Genomic DNA, 17219 nt, shown 5'->3' with positions numbered 1-17219 from the left:
GAACAAAAACCAAGAAAAAATACTAGACTCTCATCTTAAATGCACTATCCATCTCTAAAGAAATGATTCAATTTCATTTTTAATTGAAATGTGTAAACACAAACTTCCTGGGTCAATACGTTTATTTTCCCTGATGTGATTTTTCTCCACTTAAGCGTCCAAATTTCCTGATGCTAGCTAACTGACCCAATGGGATAAGAAGTGCAGTGTAACAGAATGGTGCAAAAATCCCACAGAGGCACACTTATCCCAGCTGAGTAAATGACTCTACAATTAAGATTCCTTATAGAAGTTTTCCACTCATAGAGATAAATGGGTCACCTTCACATACCCCACTGTAAGTAAGAGCAAGGGAATCTCTCCTCCCTTTCTGAAGCCCAAATCAAGTGGCTGCTCTCCGATCAGAAACAGGACTTAATTGTGTCTTTAATAAATGCCCTTGATGACTTTTAAACTACATCATGAGTGATTTAGCATAGATAAACACAAGGAAGAATTTATTGGAAGTGAAATTAAAGACAAAAATTCACCTAGTCTTCTGGCATTGCTCCTTCAGCACTGCTATTTGTATCCCTTTCAATTCTCCACACCTTGAAAGGTAAGGCTCTCCCCGCTTACCCTTGGTCCCTGACCTCTAAGCCCTTTGAGCTTCTAACTCCACTCACCCTCCACTGTTTTGTTCACTTCTATGGTCCTGTTGCCTGTTCAGAAATCCTGAATTCCATATAGATGTTTTGTTTTCATACATTAAGCTAATCATAGCAAAAATTATACTTCTTATATGTATGTATTTCCTGCCATAAATAATAACCAAATCCCAAAATACAGTCACTGGCACACACTCACTATTACTTAAATTATATTTTGAATTGGTTTACACCTATGCCAGCCCATTTATTCTATTGTGTCTCTTAAGTCTGCATCAATCTGATGCATTTCCTTTTAATTTGATTCTCAACACCAGAGAGATAGAGTGGCAGTAAAATGACCACATCTTTTGGGTCAAACAGTCCTGGATTCACACACTGGCTCCATGAAATCTATCAATGGAAAACTTCAATAAGTCATTCACTCTAACCTCACCTGAAAAATGGGAATATTAGTCACAGCCTATTAATGATGCTGTTAAAGTTACACATGTAGAGATACGTAGCAAGGAAACTGGCTCAATGTTAATTTTTCTTCTTTGTGAGATTATATCCATCCTCTCATCTATTTTCTCACCTTCCACCTGGCTCATATTTCAGCCAAAGCCTCAAATATTAAGGCTGGTTATCTCAGTGCCTCAGGTCATCATGCACTTTGTACATTCATTGCTTTGCCTCCATGTAGGTGGTTAGCTTTGTAACATTCCACAGATGCTGTTCCTAAATTCAGAAAATATATAATAAAGGATCCATCTTAAATCCTTCTCTATAAAGAGGTAAATAAATTAATTAATTAAATGAATCCATGGCATTTTCAATCACAGAAATATCATTTTGTCATTCTATGGAGATTGTATTGGTAGTCACTGCTTTGACAAATCATATGATGATAACTGATTTTTCTCCAAAGGAGGATCTAACTCCAGATTTGTCTTTATCTGAGACGACTAATAATCTAGAAAATCTGACTTCATATTCCTCTTTATAAAATAAAATACTCTTTATCTTGAGTACTCTTACTAATTAGAGGCTAGATAAGAATAAGGCCTTTGTGCTCATTTCCTAAAATCTTCAGGCACAGATTCCAACTTATGTCTACTTACACCCATGAATTTTAGCAATAGAAATTAAGATTTGACTAGCGAGAGGCCGACTGGGTAGTGGCGAATGCAGAAAGGATATCAGGCCCAGACTGTGGGCCTGCCTTGAGACCAAGACCAGGACAGCCATCCTCTTTTGTGCATTCTAGAGATGACGAGAAACAACGCATGTGCAAACTGGTGACATTTTTGTCCTTGGATTAGATGAAGAAACACTACGTTGGAAAACACCAAAGAAGCTAATAACTTAAAAACATAGAAGTTGTTTCTCTCCCACTAATCATAGGATATAGCAATCTGTTCTAAGCTCTTTTAGTACAAATGAGGAATAAGGCCAGTTTCTAAATTTAAGAAATTAGCACGGTCTCATATGTAATATTTTAATCTGTCTATAAACATTGTTTATTACCTTGAAAATAAAAGGTTATTTTGAGGGTTAAGTGTGCAAAGTAGGCACTCAATATTTATTATTCAAAGAAGTAATTAACAAAAGATGAAGGAATAATTTATATATATGGACACATGACATGCACACTAGCAACAGTGGCTATTGTCAATACTACTAGTAATTTCAGAGAAATTAAATTGTTGATTGAAAGGAAATGAAGTCTTAAGTGCTTGAAAAACTGACAAATTTTACTTAAACACTCCGTGACACAACTGTGCCAGATTTCCCGCAGCCTAACAATCCTTACTAATCTTTGTTGACATTAATAACAATTGTTTTAATTAGCATTTCTTTGGCTGACTGTGAGACTGAAAATTCTTCCTGTATTAACTACTAGTCCCTTGGAGAATTCCATTTTTAATTATTTTTGCCAAATTTTTTGTCTTTTTTTTTTTTTTTTTTTTTTTTGAGATGGAATGTCACTCTTGTTGCCCAGGCTGGAATGCAGTGGCATGATCTCGGCTCAGTGCAATCTCTGCCTCCTGGGTTCAAGCAATTCTCCTGCCTCAGCCTCCCAGGTAGCTGTGATTACAGGCATGCACCACCATGCCCAGCTAATTTTGTATTTCTAGCAGAGACGGGGTTTCTCTGTGTTGGTCAGGCTGGTCTCGAACTCGTGACCTCAGGTGATCTGCCCGCCTCGTCTTCCCAAAGTGCTGGGATTACAGGTGTGAGCCATCATGCCCAGCCAATTTTTTGTCATTTTTTAAAAGTCGTATAGTAAACACATTATTCAATTGAATGTTATATATGCTTCAAATATTTCTCCAAATTTATAATTACCCTTTTAAAACTGTGGAAGTTGTTTTTGCTATAAAACAATTATTTGAATTTTACCAAATCAAATACATCAATGTTTACCTCTACAGTTTATATCTTTGGTTTTATATTTAGAAATTTTTCTTCTACTACAGGATTATATAAATATTTACCTGCATTTTATTCTAAACTGTATGTGGCTTTTTGATATTTACATATTTAACCATCAGAAAATAATTTCAGTATGTATTGCGGTGCTATGCTTTATTTTAGTTTTTTTTTTTTTTTTTTTTTCCAAATGGATGATCAGCTTACCTAACTCCTTTTATTCTATATAGCTCACTTTATTTATACCGGTTTAAAAGTCTACCTTTATACGTAACTCAATGTTCACTTGTGCCTCTTCCTGTACTTCTAATTCTGTCTCAGAGACAAACACTGCCCTACTTTCTTTTTTTGAAATATTGTCTTTTCCAGTCGTTTCATTAAAATTGATCATACAATATGTAATATCCTGCATCTGGCTTCTTTCACTCAGCATATTTGAGGTGCATCCATATTGTAGCACTTATTAGCAATTTTTTCCTTTTTGCTGAATAGCTTTTTAGCCTATGGATATTTCACAATTTGTTCACCAGTTAATCAACTGATGGATATTTGGATTGTTTCAATTCTGGGCTATTGGGAATAATGTTGTTATGAACACTTGTATACATGTATTGTGTGTACATATGCTTTCATTCCTCTTTGGTAGAGTCCAAGGAGTAGAATTTCTGGATCATATGGTAAGTTTATGTTTCAATTTTTAAGAAACTGTCAATCTGTTTTTCAAAGTGGCTGTATCATTTTTCATGTCCACAAGCAATGTATTATGTGTCCAATTTCTCCACATGCTTATCAACACTTGGTATTTTTTTTCCTTCGTTCGTTCCTTCCTTTCCTTTCCCTTTTTTTTTTCTCTTTTTTTCTGTTTCTTATTTATAGCCATTCTAGTGGGTGGATAAAGGTATTTTATAGCAGTTTAAATTTTTATTTCTTAATTTTAATTTTACTTTCCTAATTCTCAACTTTCGTGGGCTTGTTAGTCATTTTTATATATGTTTTGGTGATATGTGTATTCAAATATTTTGCCCATTTTTAATTGGATTGTTTGTCTCTTTATTGAGTTCTTTACATTTTTTGTATATGAGTTTTTTATGCAAATATTTTCTCCCAGTCTGTTTTCTCTATTCTTATTTTCTTAATGGTGACTTTTAAATTGTACTTTTTTTTGTTTGAAGTCTGATATTGATCATTTATTTAATGGCTCACACTTTTAATATGGTATCTAATAATGTTTTGCCTAACCCAAGGTCATAAAATCTTCTCCGATTTTTTTTCTAGAAGTTTCTGATTTTTAGCTCTTACATTTAGGTCTGTAATCCATTTTGAGCTAGTTTTTTAGGACAGTGCTTGCTAAGAATCCAAGTTATTTATTTTTTTTCATAGTGATATTTAATTGTTCTAGCACCATTTATTGGAAAGTCTATCCTTTCTCTCATTTAATTGTCTTGACACCTTTATTACAAACCAATTGGCTATAATGTAGGTGTTTAAATCTGGACTCTCCAATTTGTCCTATTAATCTGTATGACTGTCCTCATGCTATGTGTCTTAATTGCATTGGTTTAATGTTAAGTTTTCAATCCAGGTTGTTTCTTCTATTTCAAAATTGTAAGTCTTTTGCATTTCCGTATAAATTATAGAATGAGTGTCAGTTTTTACAGAAAAAAAAGACTTGTTGATATTACATTAAATTTATAGCTCCATTAAGGGAAAACAGCCATGTCTATGCTATTGAGTCTTCTAATCCATTTACATGTGATGTCTCTTCACTTATTTACATCTTTTAAAATATCTCTCAGCAAAGCTTTGTAGTCGTCAGTGTCTTAGTTTTTTTTTTTTGTAATTTTTTTAACATTATACTTGCAGCGAGGATTATTGTCAAACTCTACTCACTAGGCCAAAGACCTTTGTCATGTTACTGAAAAATTTGCCCCTCACATAGCATACTACCTACACTTGCAAGTTTATCAGCCAGTTAGAGCACCAACTCCAAGCTCCAACAACGTGCAATCTCCATCTGTTTTCACATATTTTATTCTTTCTGCGTCATGAATGCCATGTTTTATAAAGGACTTTTTTAATATTTTAATTTTTTTGTAAAACCGGCTTAATTTCCATTTCTTTATAGGAAATCCATATTTTCTGCCTGAAAGCTTGTAATTTAAAAAAAAAACTTATTTAAGTCAAATATTTTATGCTTGTTCTTATCTTCCTGATTTTACCTTGAATACAATGAGCCCTTTCATCCTCAATACACTGGAGTCTTTCCTTTGGAACAGTCATTTTTATTGTATTTATTTTTGTTTACTGTACCTGAGACTATAGTTATTTGTATGTTGGCTTTTCATTTTGTGCCCTTCCCAAATATAATTTTCTCATTATTTTATTTGCACCGTATTTTTTCTATGCATTATGAGAGAATTTTTCAAATGCATTCTCCAAATTGAACTAAGTTAATTACTGTCCCTTGACTCTGTTTTTGATTATGTTCAATGTGCACTTTAATTCTATTTTTTAGTATTTTATTATTTTGACATTTTTCCAATGTGTTCTTTGTTTTTCCATAATGCTATATGATGCTATTACCTACATTACCTTAAGGATGTTTTCTTGTTAGTTCTGCAGAAGTTTTTACATTTGAGATACTGATAACTGAGTCATTGTGATGTGATAGGCAACATGCTACATAGTTTACAGACATTATTACATTTCTTCATATATGCTCATGCTCTGGATTTTCCAGATGTTGTTCCTTTATTAATGAAATATTTTAAAGATTTATGCTAGTATTTTTTTCTTTATATACTCTCTAGTGCAAAACAAGACATCTTCAGTTTTTATTTTTTTTCTTAAAAGCTATGTATGGGGCTTGCTCATGGTTGCTATCCCAATAAGCATTATTATGTGGAATGCAGTTTCTGGTATAATTTCCAGTTTCTAGCAGCCTACAGATAACATTCAACCAACACTGTATATTTCTTTGCAGGCTTAAAATCGGAGGGGAAATTGTAAACCTAAATTCCCAAAATGTGCTGTTTTATTTCACTCTCTTTTGTACATGGGCTAATACTAATTTCAAAATTCAATGTATCTCTACCAGTGCCACCCCTATACCATTATTTTTGGCTACTTTTTCTTGAGATGAGATGTCTGATACAAGACTAAAATCCTTGTTACTTTATAGTTAAGCATCCTATAAAAATAAATGGCTCGTTCCCAACTTTTTATGTTGGTACAGACTCCACATTCCTTAGTATAGACTATGGAGATGTATTCAATGTGGGCTGATATTTTGACTTTATATCTATCCACATCCATCTCCATTTTCCTCAGTTCGGAGAAGTTAATCATTCCCAAATTTTCTGGATTTAGAATATCCATCAGTTTTAGTATCAGTGCTGCTTGTGTTTTTTTTCTTTTTTCTTTATTTGTGATGAAAATTTAATAGAAAGTTGGGAAAGACTCTTTCAGATAGTGCCGATTAAAATCACTTTAAAATGCAAGTCTACTTTACATCTTAGAAAAAACTGATAGCGACATGGTGTGTGAACTAGAAAGAGTCCAATAAAAACAGAAATTAGTGATCAACCGATGAAAGGTGAAAGTCTATGCAGATTTCTGAATTAGGCAATTTCATATATGAAGCTACCATAGATTTATAAATCTATAGATCTATAGAGCTACCATAGAGCTATTAATCAAAGTGGTGAAAATAGGATATACAGGTTGTGGTTCTGTGAAGAAGACTGAATTTAGATGCAATCATATTGTGTTTGAGCTTGCTTTGAGATATTTAAGGTGGAAGAATCAACGAATTAGACATGTGGCTCTAATATTCAGGAGATTAGTCTGAAAAGAGGATAAAAGCTTTAAAGTAGAAAAATGAATATATAAAATCCATTGTCCACGGAATGCCTGTGTTGAAAGTATACAGAAATAGACAACATGTTTGGAGAAATAGCCAAACTAATTTCCATCTACAGCTATAAGTAAGTACTAGTCAATTAGATGATAAAACTTGTGTAAAAATGGGCACGCTTAATGAGAATAAACTTGAATGGTTTGTAAAAACAGTAGAAATCATAAAAACTTAAAATTATATTTTGACTAATACATTCATTCTATAATAAATATGTCATTTCCACAACGGATTAATTTGATTTATAGCATCCAATATTATCTTAAGTATTTACTATTTGCAAAAAAATAAGTTTCAGTAATCTAATTACATTTCATATAATACATGGACAATCCTGAAATAAAATTGTTTCACGTCTGAGCCATACAAATTTTAAATAATCAGAAATCTTCAAATATAGATATCTGTCCCACATTTGCTCTATTTATTAAGAAATAAATATTAACTGAAGAAGTATACGATAATTATCATCATTATTATTATTAGACAGTGTAGTATAGTTGTTAATAGCCCAGGCTTTAGCATCTTTTTGTTTCTGTGATTGATTTCCAATATCATATCTTTCAGTTTTTATGAACTTTGGCAATTTATCCAAACTTTCAAACTTTAGTTTATGCATCTGTAAAAAAAAAAAAAAAAATCTCTCTTTTAGGTTTGTCATAAGACTCAAATGAAATAGTCTATGTAAAATAATTAGAGCAAAGTATGGAAATGGTCTTATCATTAACACAATATTACATACCTGAGTAATCCTATAAGAGAACAAAGATCAGATTAAAGACCAGGGCATTCATGTTACAAAACAAGCTTACTATTTGCCTCACTGATTTTTATCACAACAGAAGCAGGTTTTATAATCATAAACGGGGCAGTATTTTGTGTTACAAACTAAGAAGAATATCAAGCTTCAGGTTCATAGGAACTGAAACATCTCTCCCCTATTAAACATATATAATGAGGCAAGATGAATGGGCTTTACCTGGGGTGAATTCTTAGGTAAATGTACTTACTGAAAAGAGATGTTTTCCTGCTTGCTAAATGGAGTAAATGAAATTTGGTATCTAAGTTAATAACTCTAAGATTCCAAATCACAATTAGTCAATTATTTTTCTATACCAAGGCCTAATCACAGTTAAATAGAATATTTCAGGAAGAGCAAATAAAGGAAAATCAAGTGACAAATGCATACTGAATATCTATTATGAGCAAGCAACTCCACTAAACAAGGATTAGTCCAAAATACCCCCTTATTCTCATAATCCAGTTGAAGGATGAAAAATTTAATCAAAATGATGAGAGTACAAGAGAGTAAGTGGTAAACATCAAATAAATGTATTTAAATAAATTGAAGTTAAATTGAAATTAATTAAATGTCTTAGTTCAGGGATTAATCTCACAGACAAAATACTGAATGAAAGAAGCTAAACACAAACAGTATATAATACATGATTCTATTTATATAAAAATCAAGTATAGGAAGAAATAATTATGGTAATAAAAGTCAGAATAATGGTTACTATTCGAGAGGACACTGATGAGGATGTGGCATTAAGAGGTCTTCTGGGATGCTGGCCATGTTCAATTAGTTGATCTTGGGCACGGTTACACGGGTACAGATGGATGTCAAACTTCCTTGAGCTGTACTCTAAAGTTTTATGCACTTTACTCAATATATATTAAACTTCAACTAAAATAATTTAAAAATTCCAAATTTAGGAAGTCAAGATCCTACAAGAGAATTCTGCTCCCAAAGGCCATAATGCCAGTCTTCCATAATTCCACTTCCCCTACTTTCCTCTTGACGGGGATCCCTGGACTTGAATGGGCCCATGTCTGGATCTCCATCCCCATCTGCTGCCTCTATTTAACTGCCCTTTCTGGGAATACCCTGATCCTTTTTGTCATCCTCACTGAGCCAACCCTCCATGAGACCATGTACTATTTCCTCTCCATGTTGTCCACCACTGACATTGGCTTACGTATTTCTACACTGGTGACAGTGCTGGGAATATTCTGGCTCAATGCTCGGGAGATCAGCTTTAACACTTGTTTATCACAGATGTTCTTCATTCACCTCTTCACTTTCATGGAATCTTCAGTGCTCCTGGCTATGGCCTTTGATCATTTTGTGGCCATTTCTAACCCTTTAAGATATGCTACCATTCTAACTCATGCAAGAATAGCACAGATTGGTTTGGCAGTCATTACCAGGGGGACTGTCATTTTGACACCACTAATCCTACTTCTTAAGTGACTGTCATTATGCCGCAGCCACGTGCTCTGCCACTCCTACTGTTTCCACCCTGATGTGATGAAACTCTCATGTTCAGACACAAAGATCAACAGTGCACTACGATTAAGTGCAATCATCTCTACTGCCGGAGTGGACTCCATCTTTATCTTGCTCTCCTATCTGCTGATCATTCGCTCAGGTCTCAGCATTGCATCCCCAGAGGAGAGGAAGAAGGCCTTCAGCACCTGCATTTCTCATATCACTGCTGTTGGCATATTCTACATCCCTTTGATCAGCCTGTCCTTTGTTCACAGATTTGGAAAACATGCCCCACCCTATGTGCCCACCCCCATTGCTAACGTATACTTGCTCATCCCCTCTGTGATGAATCCCCCATCATCTACAGTGTGAAAACAAAGCAGATTCAGAAAGCTGTGCTCAAATTTGTATGTTCCAAGGGAATTCATATTTAACATGTACTACTCCTATAAAGGCTTATTTCAAAGTCTAGAAAATTTACCACAAATTGGAATTATAAACCCATGCATGCAATTTTAGAGTTGAGTGAAACTAAATGCCATCCAATTCAAATGTCTCCACAATGTAATTATCATTGCTAAGCAATCTCTTTTCTACCATCAAAATACTAATTCAGATTCTCACTATCTTAGTTACCTTGTTCCAACAGATGACTAACTGAATTAATGCTTCTATGCTGTTTCTGCTCAACAATCACATGATTCACTTTGAATTAAGATTCCAAATATCCAGCCCTAAGAACATTTTAAAAAGAAACAAATAAATATATATTTTATTTTTATTTCATATGCACCAACTAAATGAAGCAGCAAATCCTGTCTATGGTAATTTCCTCAACAATTTAGGCTTAAACTTTCTTTAAAGTTTCATTCACTTTTTTCTCTTTTCCCATACTCTACAGTCTAAAAATGCCAGTCTGCTTACGACTTCTTCAAATGCATGCAGTTTTTTCATGGTGGACTTTACTGTTGACTCCACTTCAACTTTAACATCCACTTCACTGTGAAGTTCTACTTAGGTTTCAAGGCTCATCTTTAAATATCTTCCTCATTAAATATTTTATGATTGCTCCAGTGATATTTGTTCTCTCCTCATAATTTTCATATTGCTTTGTTCATATCAGTTTTGCCTTTATATGTGTGCACACCTGTGTGTACATTATTATAGCTTTCACAAGACTGTACATTTCCTAAATAAAAAGTCTTGATTTTATTTGAAGGCTCTGTAATACTCAGCAGAACACCTTTCACATAGTAGATACTTATTGATAGTTGTTGAATTGAACTATACAGAAAAACCTATCGAATAATCTATCTAAACAATTCCAGTGATAACTCCCTTGATTCAATACTTGACATGTGTAACACAAGAAATTTCTCTTTCAACTGAGTAAAATTTTTCTGCCTATATTATCTGGTAATTGATCATAGTTCTAACTTTCCAAACTGCATAGTTGAATGGCTATTATGGAACTTTAGGTCTCAGAAAGTTGTCCCCGTTTGGTCCCACATCCAATAAATCTGTATTTCTTGTCTATTCTTTAAAAAAAAATAGATTTAGGGGGCAAAGTTTTGTTACATGGATATATTGCATAGTGCTGAAGTCTGGGCTTTTAGTATAGGCGTCATACAAATAGAGTACCTTACACCCATTAAATCATTTCTCCTCCCCTATCCCACTTCCACCCTCCTACCCTTCCCAGTTACCAATGTCTATTATTTCACTCTAAACGGCCATATGTGCACATTATTTATCCCCTACTTATAAGTGAGAACATGCAGTATTTTACTTTCTGTTTCTGAGTTATTTCATTTAAGATAATGTCCTCTAGTCCCATCAATGTTACTGCAAAAAACATCACTTCATTCTTTTTTATGACTGAGTATGATTCCATGGTATACACTCACCACGTTTTCTTTATCCAGTCATCCACTGTTGGACACTTACAGTTATTCCATATTTTACTATTGTGAAGAGTACTGTGATAAACACATGAATACAGGTTTTAAAAATATATAATAATTTATGTTCCCTTGGGAAACTACTCAGTAGTGGAATTGCCAGCTCAAATAGTAGTTCAATTTTTAGTTCCTTGAGAAATAGCCAAGTAGTTTTCCATAGAGGTACTGGTAATTTACATTCCCACCAACAGTGTGTAAATGTTCTCTTTTCTCCACATCCTCACAAACATCTGTTATTTTTTGACATTTTAATAATAGCCCTTCTGATAGGTATCCATTGTGGTTTTAATCTGCACTTCTCTGATGATTAGTGGTGTTGAGCAATTTTCATAAGCTTGTTGGCCATTTGTATGTCTTCTTTAGAAAACTGTCTGTTAATGTCCTTTGCCCACGTTTTAATAGTTATTTGTTATTGGTTGTTGTTGAGATGTTTGAATTCCTCGTAGATTCTGAATATTAGTCATTTGTTAGATGCACAATTGGTAAATATTTTCTCCCCTTCTGCAAGTTATCTGTTCACTCTGTTGATTAATTTCTTTTGCTGGGCAGAAGCTTCATAGTTTAATTAAGTCCCCTTTATCTATTTTTGTTTCTGTTGCATTTGCTTTTGAGGTCTTAGTCATGAACTCCTTGCCAAGGCAAATGTCCATAAAAGTTTTTCCTAGCTTTTCTTCTAGTGTTTTTATAAATTCAGGTCTTACATTTGAGTCTTTATTCCATCTTGAGTTAAATTTTGTATATGGTGAGAGATAGGTGTCCAGATTCATTCTGCATATTGGCAATCCAATTTTCCCAGCACCATTTATTTAATAGGGTTTCTGTCCTTTCCCCAGTGTATGTTTTTGTCAACACTGTCACAGATCAGCCGGCTGTAGATATGTGGCTTTATTTCTGGGTTCTCTAATCTGTTTAATTGGTCAATGTGTCTATTTTTATACCAGTACTATGCTCTTTTGCTTACTATAGCCTTGTAGTACAATTTGAAGTCAAGTAATGTGATGCCTACAACTTTGTTCTTTTTGCTTAGGATTCTTTTGGCTATTCAGGCTCCTTTTTTATAAGAATTTTAGATTTTTTTTTAATTCTGTGAAAAAAATGATTTTTGTAATTTGTTAGGTATTACATTGAATCTGCAGATTGCTTTGGCAGTATGGTCATTTTAACAATCCTGATTTTTTGATCCATGATTATGGGATATTTTTCCATTTGTTTGTATCATCTACATTTTTTTCCTCAGCATTTTGTAGTTTTCCTTGAAGAGATCTTTCACCTCCTCGATTAAATGAATTCCTACATATTCTTTGTAGCTATTATAAATGAGGTTGAGTTCTTAATTTGGTTCTCAGCTAGATAGCTATTGTTATTTAGAAATGCTACTGATTTTTGTATGTTGATTTTGTATCCTGAAACTTTACTGAATGTATTTATCAAATCTAGGAGTCTTTTGGTGGAGTCTTTAGAATTTTCTAGGTATATGATCATATCATCATCAAATAGAGATAATTTGATTTCCTCTTTTCCAATTTTGATGCATTTCATTTTTTCTCTTGCCTGATTGCTCTGACTAGGACTTCCAGTACTATTTTGAATAAAAGTGGTGAAAGTAGGCATCCTTGCCTTGTTTCAGTTCTTAGAGAAAATGTTTTCAACTTTTCCCCATTCAATATGATGTTGGCTGCAGGTTTGTCATACGTGGCTTTTATCATTTTCAGGTATGTTCCTTCTATGCCTAGTTTCTTGAGGGTTTTTTTCACGAACTCATGCTGAATTTTATCAATTGCTTATTCTGCAACTATTGCCGTGATCATATTTTTTTTAAAAAAAGTCTGCTTATGTGGTGAATCATACTTACTGATTTGCCTACGTTGCGACATCCTTGAATCTGTGGAATAAAACCCGCTTCATTGTTGTGTTTTTTTTTTTTTTTGATGTGCTGTTTGATTCAGTTTGCTAGTATTTTGTTAAGAATTTTTGCATCTATATTCATCAGGGATATTTATCTGTAGTTTTATTTTCATGTGTGTACATGCCTGGCTTTGGTATTGGTGATACAGTCTGCATAAAATGAGTTAGGGGTAATTCCCCCCTCCTTGATTTTTTGGAACAGTTTTAGTTGGATTGGTACCAACTCTTCTTTCTGTGTCTGGTAGAATTTGGCTGTTAATCCATCTGGTTCTGGATTTTTCTTATTTGTAAGATTTTTTATTACTGATTCAATCTTACTAATCGATATTAGTCTGTTCGGTTTTCTATTTCTTTCTGGTTCAGTCTTTGGAGGTTATATTTCCAGGAATGTATTCATTTCCTTGAGGATTTCTAGTTTGTGAGTGTAGAGTTGCTCATAGTAGTTTGTGATGATCTTTTGTATTTCTATGATATCAATTGTAATGTCTCCTTTTTCATTTCTGAGTGTACTTATTTGAATTTCCTCTCTTCTTTTGTTGGTTAGTCTAGCTAGTTGTCTATCAGTTTTTTTATTTTTTCAAAGAACCACCTTTTAATTTTGTTGATTGTTTGTATTGTTCTTTTGGTATTAATTCCATTTAGTTCTGCTCAGATCTTTGTAATTTATTTTCTCCTGCTAGCTTTGGTTCCATTTGTTCTTGTTTTTCTAGTTTCTTGATGTATGATGTTAGGTTAACTTGTGATCTTTCTATTCTTTTGATGCAGGCATTTAATGCTATAAAACTCTCTCTCAGTACTGTTTTTGCTGTATGCCAGAGGTTTTCTTATGTTGCCTATTTTAACACCAAAATATCTTATCTTCACTTTTGGTCTCAGTTTAGGCATCAAAATCCTTTGCCTAAATCAGTTTCCTTAGAGTTCTCTAGGTCTCCAATCTTACCTTTTTCCTCCTTCTGTTTTCCATAAAACATAAAGACCTCTTTAAAAGGTTTTTAATGAAATATTAATATACAAAAAAAAGTTCTCATTAATGAAATATATTTTAGAAAAGGCCAACATCTACCTTGCTATATTCCCCCAAACCCACTCTCTTTCTGACTTCTCTATAGAGGTAACCATTGCACAGTTTTGATTTTTATCCTTTCTTTTTATATTTATATGCATAGATATGGAAAAATAAAATTTAAAACAAATTTTATCCTTTGTATTTCAGATAGTAACAGAGTTTCTTAAGGACACTTTTCCTGTTATTTAAATACTGCATAAAACCAACTAAAGAAACTTGCTCATTACCCAGAATTCCTATGGATCTCACTGTCCCTTCATATTTTCTGTTCAACACTTTCCCAGCTATTAGCCCTCTGTGGTTTCAAACCCTACTGGCTAATTCTCTATACCTCTGTCATATCTATTTGGTAAGCTCATTCTGACTGCTACTTCGTTTAGACATAGAAATGCTGTAGAATGCTATATCTAAGGATTACTTCCTCAGGGTCCACTTGCATCAACCAGTTACTAAGAACCCTACCGCAATTACTCTAGCTTATTGCCAGGATCAATGACCTGGGATTTGGCAGTCTGGTTCACCCTACCCTACTTCAAACATTCATTTTTTACAAATAAGGATAAAATGTGTCACATTTTACAACACTAAACATCCAGCTCAAAGTTTTGTGGCCTTAAGAACTGAGACCAAGAACATTATTCCAATGTATAGCCTTTGTGTGTGTGTGTGTGTGTGTGTGTGTGTGTGTGTGTGTGTGTGTGACAGAGACTTACTCTTGTTGCCCAGGCTGGAGTGCAATGGCACAATCTCAGCTCACTGCAACCTCCACCTCTCTGGTTCAAGTGATTCTCCTGCCTCTGCCTCCCGAGTAACTGGGATTACAGGTGCCCACCACCAAACCCGGCTAATTTTTGTATTTTTAGCAGAGACGGGGTTTCACCTTGTTGGCCCGGCTGGTCTCAAACTCCTGACCTCGTGATCCACCCACCAGCCTCCCAAAGTACTGGGATTACAGGCGTGAGCCACCATGCCCGGCCCCAATTTATATTCTTATTCATCTTTAACAACAGCATGTATTTAGCGCCTACTGTAAATCAAGTAGTGAGATGGATATTGAGAATACAAACATGAACAAGACTAGCTTCTTGCCTTAAGAATACTTAATGCCTAGTGAGGAATATAATTTGCAAAGATATAATTTAAAAAATATTTACTATATAGATTTACCTTCTTTCAAGAAATCTCAATAAAGAACACAACTATTGGATAATTCCTATTACAAGAACTTTAACCAGTAATTCTACTTTACTGCAACCATGGTATAAAATCAAAAACTACTTGACATAGAAATAGGAAGAAAGAACACTAAAATGATAGAAATCACTAAAAGTGAGAATTAATAATGTGAGAAAATACTCGAAATGATAATGCAAGTCAATGGGAACATAAGATTGACTATGAAAATTTTAATTGGCATTCAAATTTTGATAATGGCATCACTTGTCTATGAAGTGTTTTCCAAAGGTTAATCCATAGTCTGAATACATAACAACTATAGTACAAGGCCAAACACATAATTATTGCTTGAGGATCTTGTTAAAAATTTGGATTCCTGATACATCTCTACCAGGGAATATTATTCGGCATTAAAATTAGCTATCAAGCCATGAAAAGACATTAAAGAAACTTAAATACTTACTACTAGGTGGAAAAACATTTTGAAAGGACTGTATACTGTATAACTCCAACTATATGACATCCTGGAAAAGGCAAAACTTTGGAGATATTATAAAAATCAATGGTTTCCAGGAGTGGGGAGGGAGATATAGGAGAATAGACAGAGCACAGAGGACTTTTTAGGGCAATGGAACTATTCTGCATGACACTACAATGGAAGGTATGTATCATTACACATGCATCAAATCCATAGAACATACAACACCAACAGTAAACCATAATTTAAACTGGATTAGTGGTGATAATTTCTTGTCAATGTTGCCTCATAGATAGTGACGAACGTACAAATGTACCACTCCACTGGGAGATATTATGGAGGGGTAGGATGTGCATGTGGCGCTGGGAGGCATATATGGGAATTCTGTACTTTCTGCTAAATTTTGCTGTGAACCTAAAACTTATCTAACAAAGTCTATTAAAATGCAGGATTCTGGGCCCTAGCATCTGAATATTTTGTTTTACTAGTTCTGGGATGAGGCCTGAGAATTTGTATTTATAGTAAGATTTCCAAAGTATACCTGATACTCAGCCAGTCTGGGAAGCCACTGAGCTACAAATGCAACCGTATATTTCTTTGTTGTTTATTATTCCAAATCTAAAACATATTCGTTTTGATCTTTGTCTGTGGGGAAGAAAAATATTTATTTTGGTGGAACAACCGGGTGTGAAACCAAGAATATCAAGTGGCTTCAGTGGTTTCCTTCCCAAAGGAGGTAAGAAAACTATATGTGTACACTTTTTATATTAGTCAAAATTTATAATTTTCATAACATCGAATTTTAATAAGTCATAGCAAGTCAAAAAAGAAACATCTCAGTAATTGCAATACATGAAACTATGTATAATAAATTCTGGAGATCTGATGTATAGCATGGAGACTATATTAATTATATTGTATTGCATACTGTCTTTGATAAGAGACTGCATATTAAATCTTCTTATCACAAAATATAAAGAAGAAGAGGTGATTATGGAAGGTCATAGATAGGTTAATAACCTTCATTGTGATAATCATTTCACAATGTATATGTATATCAAAACATCACACTCTACACTGCACATATATATAATTTTTAGCAATTGTCCCTTAATAAATCTAATAAAATTTTTTTAAAGAAGAAAAGAAACCACACGGGAGAATAAGTAGATTTGGGCATGCAGAATGACTCCAAAGCACAAAGGCAAAACAAGCAAATACAATTTATCAGAAAGATCCCTTAAGAATAAGTTTTTTTGTGGGGCGAGGTAAATGATCCTCATAGGGCTGAGTTCCTCATAAATATCCTCTATTCTGGGAGCTGAATTGGACCTCAGAGCCCTGCCTCTTCCTCATCCTCTTCACTGAATGTAAGTACAGGGG

At 33.9% G+C, this 17219-nt stretch overlaps 1 protein-coding gene, 1 non-coding gene and 1 pseudogene across 3 annotated transcripts in view; 1 reads left to right on the top strand and 2 right to left on the bottom strand.

The window, feature by feature from the left end:
- Window positions 1-17219, bottom strand: part of MMP26 (matrix metallopeptidase 26) — a 287646-nt gene that overhangs the window by 230715 nt on the left and 39712 nt on the right. The window lies entirely within an intron of this gene.
- LOC124900304 (small nucleolar RNA SNORA62/SNORA6 family) lies at window positions 4918-5070 on the bottom strand. The gene has a single exon (XR_007062999.1). It is a non-coding gene; the product is annotated as a small nucleolar RNA SNORA62/SNORA6 family (small nucleolar RNA).
- Window positions 8772-9670, top strand: OR51F4P (olfactory receptor family 51 subfamily F member 4 pseudogene; annotated as a pseudogene).

The sequence above is a fragment of the Homo sapiens genome, chromosome 11 (assembly GCF_000001405.40).
Source record: "Homo sapiens chromosome 11, GRCh38.p14 Primary Assembly".
Classification (NCBI taxonomy): domain Eukaryota; kingdom Metazoa; phylum Chordata; class Mammalia; order Primates; family Hominidae; genus Homo; species Homo sapiens.
This window is presented reverse-complemented; position numbering and strand designations above follow the sequence as displayed.